This window comes from Homo sapiens, chromosome 1 (assembly GCF_000001405.40).
Source record: "Homo sapiens chromosome 1, GRCh38.p14 Primary Assembly".
NCBI classification, from domain to species: domain Eukaryota; kingdom Metazoa; phylum Chordata; class Mammalia; order Primates; family Hominidae; genus Homo; species Homo sapiens.
Window position 1 is genome coordinate 81,962,443 of NC_000001.11, and position 13,635 is coordinate 81,976,077.

The following is a 13,635-nucleotide window of genomic DNA, read 5'->3' on the forward strand; positions in this document are numbered from 1 at the left end:
CTCTTTTTATCTTTTTAAAAGGAATCTGTTGTTTTACATAATGAGTCAGATATATCAGTTTATTCTTTTTAGGGTTGGTACTCTTGGTATCTTGTTTAAGAAATATTTTCCTTTTGGCTTTCTACTTAGGAAAATTTTCTCTACATTGAGTTTATAAGGATCTTATACTTCCCTTGTAAATGATAAACCTCTGCCTTTTACAGTTATGTCTTGAATCTACCTGAAATTTATTTTTAATTATGATATCATATGAGAGAGGCAGCTGATTTGATTTTTCCCCATATGAATAACCAGTTCCTTGTTTACGTTTAGTGCGTAATCCATTTCTCCCCCTAATGATTTGTAATGATATCTTACATGTTAGCCATGTCTATTATTTGCTGCTTTGGTTTTTTCAGTAATGTTAATATCTGTTGAGTCTTTCAGCCTTGCTCCTTAAGGAACTGCTTTGGCTGCTTTTTGGCATGTCTCTTCTATATAAATTTTTAAATCAATGGATCCAGTTCCAGACACAAAAATCTTGTTGGAATTTTTATTAGAATTGGACTGAATTTGTAGATTGATTTTGAAAGAGGTGCCAGGGTGAACTGTTGCATTCTCCCAAATAACAGCATTATGTAATTCTTCATTTTTTTCTTAGGTCTTCTTATAAAGTTATATATTTTTCTTATTTTTAGTGTCTTGCACTTTTTAAAAATCAGATTTGTTCCTAGACAACTTATACTTCTTTTTTTTATTATAAATAATATCACTTTTAAAATTACATATTTTAATTGTTTGTTGTGTGGTGTATAGAAACACGATTGATGTTGCTCATAGCAGCCTTGCTAAATTCTTAGTATTTCTGATAGTTTATCGTTAACGTCCCTCGTTATTACTATGTAGTTAATTGTGTTTACTGTGAATAATACTTGTTTTTTCCTTTATACCTTTTATTTGCTTTTCTTGAATTACTGCATTAAGCTAGGTCTTCTAGTACAATGCTAAATAAAACCTGTGACAGAGATCATTTTGACTTTAAATGGAATGCTTCTAGAGTTTTTCACTATTGTTTGCTATATATGTTTTGGATACATAAAGGTTTAGCCTTTATCTGATAAGAAAACTTCTATCTGGTCAAAGAATTTTTCTTTAATTCACATTTTTTGTAAAGATTTTTTTTTACATTAAGTGGATGTTGAAATTTGTTTCTGTGAATACTTTTTAAATTTCTCTATTTGATGAATTATATGAATACATTTTCTAATGTATTAATTTCTATATGCTTTTTTAACTTAATTTACTAAAAATTTAATTTGTCCAGGATATTATAAAATGTGTGTATATTTTATTAAAGATTTTTTGCATCATTTTAATGACTGAAAGTATCCTATATTTTTTTGTGAAATGAGTTAGGGATATATCTTTTTCTGTTTTCTGAAACAGAAAATAGAAATCTTATTTAAAATTCAGTATGTATTTATCAGTTGAGTTTTTTAATGGTCATAAACTATTAGGGTTTTTAATTTCTTTTAGTCAGTTTTATTTTTCTAGGAAAGTTTCTATTGTCTTTTAAAAATTTATTGATATAAATTTATCTATTTGTTGGTACAAAGTTCATTATTGCATTTTCTTATGGAAATATCTTAAGTAGCTTGAAATATCTACTGAGAGCTGTAGTCATGATCTTACTACTTTTAATAATTTAAAGTTTTTCTTTACTGTGAACATTATTTTTTAAACTCTAATAAGTAAATTTCTGTTTAATGAAATTAAAGTTTGATAAGTAAATATTTGTTTAATGCAATTAACTCTTTGTACATGTATATCTATGTTTGGGATGATTCATGAAAACTCAGAGGATATTCTTCTTTCATCCTGTCTTGTTTTAAGATATGAAAGCTTCTTTCAATGTGAGGAAGAATCAGTTACTTTAATTAAACTTCTTTCCCTCTTTCCTCCCTGCCGCCCACACAGAGTCTGAGAACAGTTCATCCATCTACCCAGCAGCTTAATCTTTCCAAACAAGTATCAGTAAAATAAGTGTATCAACCAGTTTCTGCAGCTGATAGAATTTTAGCAGTTACATGATGCTCATTATAAATTTGTATTTCAGGGTTTGACATGTGGTTTAATTGCTTATAAAAATGTATGAATGTTATTATATTTACACCTAAATATAGATGTATTTTACAAAACAGAGTTGCAGAAGATTAAAAAAATTAGTATCCAAGAATTACTGTACAATGGTATGAGATGATTTTTGTAAAAATAAAAAGGGGATTGTAGGTGAATAGCTGATAGATGATACAGACATTAGAGACATTAAAGAGAGTGACATTCAGAAAAAAAGTGTGGACTGTATTTTTTGAACTTTTTTAAGAATACAGATTATTTTTAAAATTTCAATATCAGAAATTAATGAATTTTTCATATAATTCCTTAGATTTCATCAATAAAATGTTAATATTGTAATTATTAATATAAGATAGTTAACTCCTGTAAAGGCAATGTACTTTTCCATTCCTTTTAAAATCTAAATGAATGTTAATGTAAAATAATTACAATCTGTATTGTGATTCCCAGCAGACAGTAAACATTTATATTGTTAGTGGTTACTATTAAGTATATTTTTGAAATGAAGTTAGCATTGGCATGTTGATCAGGTAGATGTTCTCAGTGTTTTGTATTGACGTGTTTTCCTTAAGTGTTTGTCAATTTCGATACTTGGTTTGAATTTTTGAAATTTGGTTTAGATTGCAGTGGTTGTCACACTTCTGCTGTAAAGGTCCAGATAGTATATATTTTAGGCTTTGCAAGCCATGGTGGTCTCTCTCGCAAATATTTAACTGGCATTGTAGCACTGAAGAAGCCATAGGCAATATACAAATGAATAAGCATGATTGTGTTCCAATAAAACTTTATTTACAAAAACAAATGGCATGCCAGGCTTGGCCTGCAGGTTCTATTTTGCCCAATTTGAATATGTAAAGACTGATGGTTACTAGTGAGAATTAATGGGAAGTTTTAACATAATGACATTTTCATCATAAATATATTCTTGGCTGGGCTCACTATTTTTAGAAATTAGAAAAAAAAAGTATTACTGCAAACTTGACCTGTGTAATTTTTCATATTAAAGTGGATCATAGATAGAAAGAGTTGTATAGATGCCATAAAGTCATTCAAATTTGTACTTCATATTAGTTTTACCACTGCCAAGTAATGGTCATTGAAAAGTTACTTAATATAAAGAGCCAAAAAATATCAGTTTGAAATATTTTTGTTTAGCTTCATGATTTAAATATAAAACCTTGAAAGTTATGTACTATTAATTCATACACTGTTCATACTTACAGGCTAACAGATTGGTATTAGTTCATGACAAAAGAGATAAAAATATGAAGAAGGTGTTAGAATGACAATACAAAATTTTTTTGAGAAGTGAATATTTAAGACTTAAATCATTTGGAGTAATTTGGTTTTTAGTCCATGATTTTTGTTGAAACCTAACAGTAAAATTTTTTAAGTAGGCAAAAAGAAAACAGTAGTTTCCATACAGTTATCATTTGCCTCCTTAGTTAACTCTTAAAGAATCCTTTTTTCCCCACCTCCTTTATCTTTTCCCTCATCCAGTCCTGGAAGTTGCCGTACTCAGTACAGAAGGACAGATCCAAGACTTTAAATTTCCTCTGGGCATCAAAGGAGCAGGCAGCTCAATCCAACTGTCCGCAAATACCGTCAAACAGAACAGCAGGAATGGTAAGGTGGAAGTCTTTTAAAAATTGACAGTTTTTGTTGTTGTTCAAAAACCTATTAATTCTAAAATGTATTTGAGTCCTTATATAACAAAAAAACGGCTTACCATTTAAAAGCAGATATAAAACAGTGCCTTAGGACTTCATCATTTTATTCTTATTTTATCTTAGTTTATTAACAAGCATGTTTTTTGTACATCATGTGACTATTTTTACCTTCCTAGGGCTTGCAAAGTTGGTGTTCATCATTTACCGGAGCCTGGGACAGTTCCTTAGTACAGAAAATGCAACCATTAAACTGGGTGCTGATTTTATTGGTCGTAATAGCACCATTGCAGTGAACTCTCACGTCATTTCAGTTTCAATCAATAAAGAGTCCAGCCGAGTATACCTGACTGATCCTGTGCTTTTTACCCTGCCACACATTGATGTAAGTTAATGTATGCTAATGAAGTAATGGAAGGTTATAAAAGCAGAAAGAAAGGAAAGCAAAACTGAGGTGCTGGGGATGGGGAGAGAACTGGGGAGATGGGAGGGAGGAAAGACAAGACCTTTCCATTTGAATTTTAAATGTTGGACTAGGTCAGAGACACAAGTTTATTTAAGTCTGTGAACATAAAATTAAATGAGCTTGGTTCAGTGATTATTAGAACTTAAGTGTATTCTTAATGAAAGCTAATTCAGTAATCAACAGGAAAATGTAAATGACTCTAATTTGTTTTCAAATGAAAATTAACCCTTACCTTACTTAGCAGCAGGATAGCTGAGTATTAACTCTTAGGACTCTGCCTTTCTGTGTGGCAAAATTTTTTTCATTAGTTTACTGATCACGTTTGACACAGCTGTTACCAAGTATTGTGTTTAAAAAAACAGTTGAGGAGATGTGATTCCTCTGCTGTGCCTTAAAATGCAAGTTGATACTTACGTAACTACACTGTATTGGAAGATTGTCTACAGAATGTTTGGCTGTTGTGATAAGTAGAGTGAATAAATGCCCACAGATAAAAAAGTGGATCTCCAAATAGGCAAAGAAAAATAAATTTGTGTGGTTATGGTACTCATATCTGCTTCAGTTGATTGACTCTTTTTTTTTTTTTTTTGAGACAGAGTCTCGCTCTGTTGCCCAGTCTAGAGTGCGGTGGCGCGATCTCGGCTCACTGCCAGCTCCACCTCCCGGGTTCACGCCATTCTCCTGCCTCAGCCTCCCGAGTAGCTGGGACTACAGGCGTCCTCCACCACGCCTGGCTAATTTTTTGTATTTTTAGTAGAGACGGGGTTTCACTGTGTTAGCCAGGATGGTCTCGATCTTCTGACCTTGTGATCCGCCCGCCTCAGCCTCCCAAAGTGCTGGGATTACAGGCGTGAGCCACCGCGCCCGGCCTATTTGATTGACTCTTAAGAGCTTGTAGGTACTAACAATATGATTTACATTGCTGCTAGTGTATCTCTTAGAACTAACCAAAAATGGGCCCAAAATAGAACATGGATTTTTAAAACATTTGGTCCGTATAGAATTTTCTCAGAACAAATTTATGGCTCTAATTTTATCAGAAAGGAAAAAAGATTCTAATGTACCATCAATTGTAAAATCATAAAATGGAAATTGTAATTGTGTAAAATGGGTCTTGGTAATTTAAAGTACACTTTAGAGTCTTTCGGACTATAAAGCCCCTTTTAAGCTAGATATCTGCCTTGTATAACATAGTCCACAATTTTGCTGATGAAAAACTTTATAGTCTGAAACATGCAAAGTTTAATCTAAATTACCTTTTATACATATTAAACAATTGCTGTTGCCATCTTAGAATATAAAATCCTAATTTTATCTTGTCATTTTATTTCCCAGCCTGACAATTATTTCAATGCAAACTGCTCCTTCTGGAACTACTCAGAGAGAACTATGATGGGATATTGGTCTACCCAGGGCTGCAAGCTGGTTGACACTAATAAAACTCGAACAACGTGTGCATGCAGCCACCTAACCAATTTTGCAATTCTCATGGCCCACAGGGAAATTGCAGTAAGTATTTGCACTTCTAATTAGTAGCAGAGAAAAACCTCAGAGATTCAAAACAGCTTGTATAATAGTCCCATTCTTTGGGTGCTTACCGTAACTAAAAAGCAAACAAAGTAATGTTGATTTCTAATTGTTTCTACACTGTCCATAAATTTTAAGAAGTCTTGGCACTGTTATTGTTACTTCTCAAAATCATATGCTATGACTTTATAGACTTGTAAGTTTTCCTCCTTGGGGCAGGTGCTTGGTAGAGACAACAGAAGATTTAAATAATGAGCAGCAATAGGTCATACAAAAGAGACAGAAGGCTCTCGAGTTTAACATGCCCTTCCCATCTTGAATGTTCGAATCTAATTTTACAACTTTCCCTTTAAGTTTCCTAACCACTTTGCACATTGTGCAAAGCTGCATCTTTTGAAAAGTCAAAATGGCTTCTGGAATATGTCTCAGTATTCTTTCTTGTGATTAAGACAATGACAGCCAGAAGACAGAAATATTTTAAGAAGTGTAGCATTTCCGTCTCAGATCCGTAGTATGTGTCAACTCTCAATATGTAAGCATACAAAACCCCAAGGAGAAAATAAAAACTTAAAACTTGGCTTATGTGTTAGCTTGGAAAAATCATTAAAATGTCAGTTGTTTTTAATCATGAATAAGTATTCTTTATTCTGTCATGTAAATAGTTTCCATGTGTTTATGTAGTTAATTCAGTCATACTTTGAAATCATTAGGCTCCTTTATTGTTTTCTAGGTAAAATCTTCCTCTCTCATAGATCATTTTTTAAGTATAAAAGACAATAATATTGAACGCTATTATGTGATCAAAATTTATTTTTGGTATTGAGCCTTTTTTGAACACATATGAATAGTATTCTTCAAAGAGTTCAGTAGTAAAAGATGAGCTGTACATGTGAAAGCTGTCTTTCTTCTAGTTGATGTAATGCAGGAATACTAATGTTCCTCATATCTTTTTATTTTCAGTATAAAGATGGCGTTCATGAATTACTTCTTACAGTCATCACCTGGGTGGGAATTGTCATTTCCCTTGTTTGCCTGGCTATCTGCATCTTCACCTTCTGCTTTTTCCGTGGCCTACAGAGTGACCGAAATACTATTCACAAGAACCTTTGTATCAACCTTTTCATTGCTGAATTTATTTTCCTAATAGGCATTGATAAGACAAAATATGCGGTAAGCACCAGTTGAGTTCATTGACCTTAGATCTCTGAAAATTATTTTAGTAGGTGTGAGGTGACATATGATACTGATATTAATGTTTGACCTTGTAACTTGATAGAATTGATACGGCAATATTGAAAGACAATTTGTAGTAAATTAAAAGACTGTCCAATTATTAAGTAATATTATGAACTAATTCATTTTATATATTAAGATACAGTCGAATTTTTCTGTGTTTTTATTAAGACATAATTTTAATAGAAGAATGCTGAGGATACAGTAATATAAAGATCCTATTTTAAAAATTCTTATTTTGTTTACATAGTCATTCTGACCAGTGATCCTTTCTTTGTATTCATAGCAATTGATTCATCATCATGAGGTCTTAATATCAGAAACAGAACTTAGTTAGTTAATGCTTCACCCTATATTCATCTGCCCTTGGATAATTTTAAGAATGTTCCAGATATGACAGGAACTGGGTAATTAGAGCTAGGATTTTGTCATTAAAGCAAAATTTTAAAATTCCATTATAGAAAAAAATAGAAATAATATATTTGCAAACAACACTTTTAAAGACTTGTGAAGCAAATCATCTACAAGTGGAATATTTAGATTTCATAACAGATAATTCACAAATTATGAAGTTTTCTTATTTGATATTTAATTTCACTAAAAAATGTTATAGTAATGTTCTTCCTTGATGAAACCTAGCACACTTGGCATTATACTCTGTGAACATGATAATCTTCAGATTTGTCAGGGTTTTTAGCTTGTTTCCAGTTACGAAAAAAATATTTTCAGGAAGCATTAGTTTACTCTGAATAATGTATTTTTGAAATAATAGTGATTTCTCTTAGTGAGTATTTTATAATTTTGGAGTGGGCTATTTTTATTCATGAGTTTTCTTTTGTGTTTTTTGTTCTTTTCCCCCGTAGATTGCATGCCCAATATTTGCAGGACTTCTACACTTTTTCTTTTTGGCAGCTTTTGCTTGGATGTGCCTAGAAGGTGTGCAGCTCTACCTAATGTTAGTTGAAGTTTTTGAAAGTGAATATTCAAGGAAAAAATATTACTATGTTGCTGGTTACTTGTTTCCTGCCACAGTGGTTGGAGTTTCAGCTGCTATTGACTATAAGAGCTATGGAACAGAAAAAGCGTAAGTAATTGCAAGCGACCTGAGTGTTTTTCAAGTGAATAATTTTTTAAAGCCTGTTAGCTGTCAGTGAGGGTCCCTGACAGATTAAAATAGCATCTGAAAGCTTTATTGGTAAGAGAATGGGCATACCGTGCACAAATTACAATCAAGTCTTTTGCAATTTTCTGGGTTCAGAGGATTTGTACTCTGGCAAGGCAGATTCCAAATTATGGACTTTCTTTTTAACACAAAAGATTGACCTGAAACAAATTGAAAAAGTAAATAACTTTTTGGCCTTAGAAAGATATTAAGTAAAAATTCTTCTGAACTTAAAGCTTCTGACAGGTTTAACTACTCAGTGTTAAGCTAATGCTTCATTAGCTCTCTTTGTGCAGCTGACCCTCTATAGCTAACTCTCATTCTGAATTGTGACAGTAGCACATTCCATCCCATATGTTTTACTTTGATAATATTGTATCAGGCAGTTTGAAAGGATTAAAATAAGTCACTGTCTTTCGTTCATAAAAGTATAGATATTTACAGAAAGTGACAGAAGGTAGACATAGTCATGTTTCTAAGGATTTTATTTGCTAGAGGCATGAATTTGCCTTCCAATTCTGTTTATTTTTTTCCTTTGATAAAATTAGTTATATAAAGATTCTTTGGACTAAAGAAAGCTTTTTGACTGTACAGATGATGAAAGACAAAAGAAATTCAGTGGGGATTCCATGTTATATGAAAAATGAACCACTAAGTAAAATCTGTCTTAATAAGTTTATGCATCATTTACTCTAATACTGTGTGAGTTCTGTGCTTTGATATCCTTTTCTAGCATTTATCCATTCCTAGTGGAGGTATTATATTTCTGCTACACTGTTTTGCAACAAACATAACATCTGAACAGTTTTTGGGGGTTCTGTTAGGTTCCATAGGGTTAAGCACTTCAGCTCAGACAGATCTGAAAGGCAAATTTTGAAAATTATATGTAGGACTTTAAAATGATGAGACAATTTGCAATATTGAGTTTCAAGTCTGTCTTAGGGAAGTCAGAAGTCTTAAGGATTCAGTGGTGGAGTGGTGTTTATTGTCTTCCCCATACAAGCACGATTTTGTATGCTTTTATCAAATATAAAACCAGCAGTTTGAAGTAAATAAATTATTTTCCTTTGTTAAGTCAAAGCCAACTCAGAATTATTAGAGGTCTTGCACATGATAAATGAATCTTCAAAGGCAAATGTAAAGATAGTTTTGTCTGTTAGGTTTTTAAAATCCTATTTTCCTTGTGATGTTGAGGTTCCATAGAAACTACTAATGCATATTCTTCTCTTTTCATAATAGTTGCTGGCTTCATGTTGATAACTACTTTATATGGAGCTTCATTGGACCTGTTACCTTCATTATTCTGGTAAGCAGGTTCTGTTTTCCCTTGCTTTTTAGCTTGCTGCTTTAGCAGTGCTATTCAAACAAGGATAATTTGTTTTATTGTTTGTTTATCTATCTATACAAAGATTTATAAATATGCCTGTCTCACAGGATAATAGTATATTTTAAATATTTTTTATAAACTTGCTAATTAATATTTCTGAAAATCTTTACTCTAAAAAGTACTTTTTCTCATTTCTAATTTAATAAGCTGACATATCACATCATAATCTAAAAAACATGCTTACATATAGGCCATGTTATAAATTAAATGAATATGTCAGAAAAGTGAAAGAATATTACCTTAATTTTTATTATCTTAGTTTCCACATAGTAATTTAATGAATTACTATGTAATTCTAATGAATTAATTTTAAGTGAATTTTAAATGAATATCCACATCCTCAATGCTTTTTAGTATATAAAAAGTTGTTTAAGCTTGCATTAACGAATGACTATTAAATCAACTTAAAATTTATTAGAAATAAAATTACTTCTATAAGACTGAAGATACCAAATGAATATACTAGTTTAAGAAATGCTATTTTTAAATGAATTTGATGCAAGTCAAGGATAACGACATTAAGATATTTTTAAACATCTTATATTACCCTTAGTCACATTTGAGATATAGTTGAAATAAAGGAGTGTAGCTACAGTATCTAGACTTTGGTATTTAAAACTTTCACTCAGGCCTGGACATGGTGGCTCACACCTATAATCCCAGTATTTTGGGAGGCTGAGGCAGGAGGATCACTTGAGGCAAGGAGTTAGAGGCTAGCCTGGACTTCATAGCAAGACCTCCCCTCTACAATAATATTTTTAAATTAGTTCGGTGTTGAGGCACATTCCTGTAGTCCCAGATACTCAGGAGGCAGAGGCAGAAGGATCTCTTGTGCCCAGGAGCACAAGGCTGCGGTGAGCTATGATTGCACCACTGCACCCCAGCCTGGGCAACAGAGCGAGACCCTGTCTTAAAAAAAAAAAAAAAACTTGCTCAGTTGTAGCACTATGGTGAGAAATGGTGTTATTAACTCTGAAAAGGAAACATAAATACTTCCTATTTTAAGAAGTTTTTCTTACTTTTTTTTCAAAAACGTAACACAAATGAGCTCGTTTGGATCTTTTCATGGTTAAGCAGTGTTTCATGAAATTGAGAAAAACTTCTAGTACTTGAAGGAAACTTAAAACCACTTCAAGTGTATATTTGTTTGTCATTAAAATTAATTATTTTACACAATTACTTATACAAAGTGAAATGAAAATTTGAGATGAATGCCTGTATGAATTAAACCAGTAAAACATTCTCAAGTATTCCTGGGAAAACTGATTTCTCATCAGAATTATTAAATCTGATGATTGCCCAAGTTTTTGTTCTTGGTGTTCATATGTTAACACAGCCTAAGCCTGTCTAGAGTTCAATGGCTGACATGAAGAGGCATGATCCTTGAAGACATAACCTTCCATTTTCCTCTAAGACCTTCGTCAAACACATAAGTTGCAAAAATGTAAAGACTGCTTTAGGGATATTTGGCCAATGAGGCTATCATGTGTTTACTCCTTTTATACTGTAGTTTTATTTATTTGATATCTGTGAAGATAAGTACTGACTTTAGATCATTAAAAAACATTTCAATTAGCAAAAGAAGTTAATTTTCAACATACTCAGCTTTTAGTAAGAAAAAAGGGTAAAGGACATTTTATTATGTTGTTCATTTATAGTAGAGCACACTATTACTTTATAAGTCTTGTCATTATTGTCCTCTACCAAATCCTTCAGGTTGAGATGTGAATGGCTTTTTCAACAGCATTCTCAAACACAAACCCCAGTAGGTAGCAATCCCAGTACAGATCTTGTTGGAATTCTCCTGCGATTGCTTTGCTTTCTAATTTTCCCAACAGAGAGAAATTAAGAGTGGTATAGGAGTACAAAACAGCGTCTTGCAAAAGAATATCTAACTTAAATTGAGATATGATATGATGATACAGTGTGTGTGGGGAAAAAATATATATATATATCTTCCCTCTGGTGATGATAAGACATGTAAACTCAATTCAGGCACAAATCTTAATAATATAGATTGTATTGTATACTATCCTTTTAAGGAATATTCCCATAACAACAATTACCTATTGCTATTCCTAGGAAAGTATAGCTTTGCATTTTCAGTTTTTCTGAATTGAAACTGTTTCACTTAGTTGTATTAAATAGGTGTACATTCTAAATAATAATCTATGAAGAAAAATAATATGCTAAGGAAGATAAAACTTCCTACTTCTGCATTTCTATAGGATGTCTTGCCTACAGGCACTAGAGTTATTATATCTATGAGAAAAGTGCTGGTAAGTAATGAGCAGTGGGAAACCATTAGTATGCCTGAAATGGTTTAATGAAAGCTTGGATCATGACACGTCAGGAGCTGTTCTTATCATTTGGACAGCTCCATCTGCATCGTTAATAATTAATTCAGTTCAGTAAGAGTTCAGCTCACACACTCATTTAGAAGTCTTCTTCAGAGAACACCTCTCTGGCTGCTAGTCCCAGGGAGAAATAGGTTTCTGCTTGGCTAACAGCAAAGATCTGGAGATACAAGTATAGCTTTAGAGTTGCATTTGCCAGGTAGCAAAAGCTCCAGGGAGGACAAAAAGGGTCAGAACGTGCACAGTTCAGCTAGGTTACTTCAGAGTGATGTTTCTGTTCTTCTGTCTTATCATATCCATGTCAGCACTGCAAGCTGTGGAATGAATTTTAAGCTGCTAAGCTCAGACGGATGTGATTCAATTGAGCAGGTTGATGACCATAAAACAAACTGTGCACTCCTATAATCTGTGGTACCTTTTTCTTTCTTAAAATTTCTTTGTATTTTTATGTTCATCAATATGGGTGATGTTTAGCTGTGTCATATCATTAAGCAGTTTGAATTTTATCAGCAAATTATATTGGTGGGTTATTATAAATAATAATTTATGAAATTATTGTTTGGGGATAGGTAAAAGAATGATCTTTGTCAGTGGGAGAGAAAAAAAAATGTCCCAGTTTGATGACTTACTCTTTTTGGCTGAATAAGGATTTTTTTTTTCTTGATTTGTTCTCACTCAACAGACTTATCTTAAAAGATAGCCATCTATTTACCTGTACACACACACCTGCACACAGACACACACACGCCCAGAGCTAAGCTAAAATCTGATTCTTGAATGAGTTGTTTCATCCCCAGAATTAATTATTAGCATGGACATTTAGCCTGGTGGGTTGTCATATGTATGTACCACAATCCTAATAGCCTATACTTACTAGTAGTGGCTTCTGTGTGGATAATTGAGTAACTGCATGTACTTACCAAGTTTAGACAAATGTTTGTGTGCGCAGCTGTAACTCCACCTTTTTCCTTTCTCACTGATGCATGCAGCCTTTCAACCTATGCCAAAATATTATGTTTAAACTTCGTAGTATTTACACTGAAAAGAAAAAACAAAGAGCAAGAGGGTCAAAGAGTGGCTGCATTGGAATTCAAGGGAGAAGAGCAGCAATTGGATGGTAGAGACATTGTTCTCTCCCTGCCTCTTTGCCTGCCTTCCATTGAGAAATAGGGGAAATACCATGTTGGATGGTTGTGATTTATTTTGTAAATGCGTATCAAAGGCAGAAAAATAAATTGGGCAAAAGTAAAAGTAAGGAGGAGAAAGAAATCACTTATTATAATTGGTGGGGGCGGGGGAGAAGGGGAAAGCACAGAAGTATATGGATGGAAAGAGCCATTTATGTCATGAGAAAAATGCAAAGAAGAAAGGAACTCAGACTTGCAGCCAGTAGTTTATTTGAAACCTACCTTTTTTGTCTTAAAATGACTACAGATTTTTATCAAAGATGTGTTTATTTGCCCCTCTGCCTCTTGTTCTCATTTCCACGGTTGTATTTTAAGAAAACAAGAAAGAAGTAAGAAAGGGGAAAAAATTTTTGGAATATTTTCCCCTGCAAAATTATAATTATCAGAATGTATTGCCTCCTGAAAAAGATTGCAGCAACAATATTTATTCTATCAAACTAAAATTTAGCATTACATTTTTTTAACATTGGAGAAAATAAGATAACTGTAAAACCACATTTTTAAAAATGTATCTGTGCTTCAGTATATGTTCTA

General features: G+C 32.7%; 1 protein-coding gene across 63 annotated transcripts in view; it reads left to right on the forward strand.

The window, feature by feature from the left end:
• Positions 1-13,635, forward strand: part of ADGRL2 (adhesion G protein-coupled receptor L2) — a 687,801-nt gene that overhangs the window by 656,311 nt on the left and 17,855 nt on the right. For all 63 annotated transcript variants that reach the window (NR_171658.1, XM_047416152.1, XM_047416118.1 and 60 more), the window contains 6 exons: positions 3,616-3,741; positions 3,962-4,167; positions 5,584-5,757; positions 6,736-6,945; positions 7,872-8,092; positions 9,410-9,476. Coding sequence is in view for 62 of the 63 variants with exons in the window: in XM_047416152.1 (XP_047272108.1) it covers positions 3,616-3,741; positions 3,962-4,167; positions 5,584-5,757; positions 6,736-6,945; positions 7,872-8,092; positions 9,410-9,476 (1,004 nt within the window). In the remaining variant the exon portion in view is untranslated. The remainder of the gene's footprint in view (positions 1-3,615; positions 3,742-3,961; positions 4,168-5,583; positions 5,758-6,735; positions 6,946-7,871; positions 8,093-9,409; positions 9,477-13,635) is intronic.